This window comes from Homo sapiens, chromosome 9, assembly GCF_000001405.40.
Source record: "Homo sapiens chromosome 9, GRCh38.p14 Primary Assembly".
Taxonomy (NCBI): Eukaryota; Metazoa; Chordata; class Mammalia; order Primates; family Hominidae; genus Homo; species Homo sapiens.
Window position 1 is genome coordinate 95520930 of NC_000009.12, and position 2286 is coordinate 95523215.

Consider the following 2286-nt stretch of genomic DNA (forward strand, 5'->3'; position numbering starts at 1 on the left):
CTTTGATTCTGGATCAGACAGATCCTCACAAGCTTTCATAAAAGTACTCTTGCTCAATGTGGGGATTTCAATTCTAAAATGACTGCCCCCCCTCACTCCCTATCCTGGCCTCTTCCTTGTGGGAGGATATTCACAAGCCAAATCAACTCTCAGAATTAGGGCTTTGGGGACTGGAGAGGTAAGAAATATTTAAAGGTGTTTGTTACAACATCGAATTAGACCCAATGAACAATTGAAGATAACTTGAGTTGAAACAAAGGAATTGTTTAAATACAAACAACAAAAAGAAAGAAAATAGGATTGCAAAACAGAAAAGGCGATGATGTTGTATGAATAGAAACACCAGAACATACAGCTTGGAAACAGAGTGGGTGGAGTGAAACCTGGAATACTATGGAATATAGGCTTTGTCGGACCCCATTGCTGAGGAGTAGGAAGGCAGTTGGAGGTGTTCGAAAAATCAGATGATAATTTCAGGACAAGAAGAAACAGAGAGATAGATACCTGTGGAACTCTCACCTCAAAAAACAACACTTACTCAAGTTGCTCTTCCTCCAACAGAGGTACACATACAAACTGACTCCTATTCATCCAGTGATGACCTTCCCATATGTAGAAGACCTGCAGGGGCAGCCTTGTTAACGAAGAATGTGCTGAGAAAACGAAATGCCAAGGGGCCTGGTCAACTGTGGGAGGCAGGTGTGGCCAGGGTGGCTGGTGGTGAGGGTGATGGGTCAGTGCCGGGAGACATAGCCCACTGCGATCAAGTAGGTTCCCAAAATTTATCATGAGGTTCTACCTGGACCTAAGAGGCCCTGAATAAAGAGATTAAATGTCGTGAATATGAATGACAGCCTCCATCTGATGAAAGTTGCTGCTTACACATTCTGCATTGTTGCAACTAAGCATTCATCACTTGTTTCCATTGAGATTGGTGGCAGAAGGTGCAGAACTGAATTATGTCACGTGATTGAAAATTTGGAGGGGTGAGTCAAAGTTTATATCCACTCCATTTGTGAAAGAAGTTGTGTAAAGCAGACTCCTAAAAAGGGAGCAAGTTTGAGCCATGTGGGAGAAGCTGAGCCTCCAACAGTCCTTTCATTAGGCTGTGCCCTGGGGGACACCCAGCCAGCCATCTGCGGGTGGTTCTGAAGACCCTTCTCACATATATCCAGACAGTGGCATTCCTTGTGTTTGTGAGGTGGAAAGGATGTGTTACCAGCTGTTGACTGAGGCCGGTTTCTTGTAGTGTGGGAGGTGGGAGCTTGGGTCTGGGCTGGCCCTGCCCTGCCATCCATATCCCAGGCTCAGTGCCTTCTTCTCTACCTGTGTGAGTTTGCTGGGGCTGCCATAGCAAAATCCCACAGACTAGGAGGCTTACACGCAGATACTGAATTTTCCTCACAGTTCTGGAGGCTGGAAATCTAAGAATAAGGTGTCGGCAGGGTTGGGTCCTCCTGAGGCCTCTCTCCTTGTGCCCTCGCTTGATCTTCTATGGGTGTCTGTGTTGAAATTTCTTTTCTTTTTTTTTTTTCTTTTTTGAGTTAGGGTCTCACTTGGTTGCCCAGGCTGGAGTGCAATGGCACGATCATAGCTCACTGAAGCCTTGAACTCCTGGGCTCAAGTGAACCTCCTGCCTCAGCCTTGTGAGTAGCTGGGACTATAGGCATGTGACACCACACCTAGCTAATGTTTTAAATTTTTCATATAGATGAGGTCTGGCCATGGTGCCTAGGCCGATCTCAAACTTCTAGCCTTAAGCGATCCTCTTACCTTGGCCTCCCAAAATTCTGGGATTACCGGCATTAGACCCCACACTCAGCCCTCAAATGTCCTCTTCTTACAAGGACACTGGTCATATTGGATTAGGATCCAACTTAATGACCTCATGTTAGCTTAATTACCTCTTTAAAGACCCAGTCTCCAAATACAGTCACATTCTGAGGCACTAGCAGTTAAGACTTCAACAGAAGGATTTTGAGGGCACACAGTTCAGCCCACAACAGCAACCAAAGGTTGAAAAGATCTGGCTTGCATCTGAAAGGCAAGTTCATTTCTCGGCTCTGTGTTTGGAGGGGGGCTCCGGGTAGACTGGAGCTGGGTCCTTCCTGGCATCCAGTGCTGAGAGGACCTGACCCACCCCCTCTCAGAGACCTGTCTACACCTCCACAAAACAGACACTAGCTGACACATTTTCTAAGAATGTTGGTGGTCTAAGAAAATGGCTTTAGGCACCCAGCAGAATTTCCCCCAACCCCCAACCACAAAGAATGAACACTGCTAGGC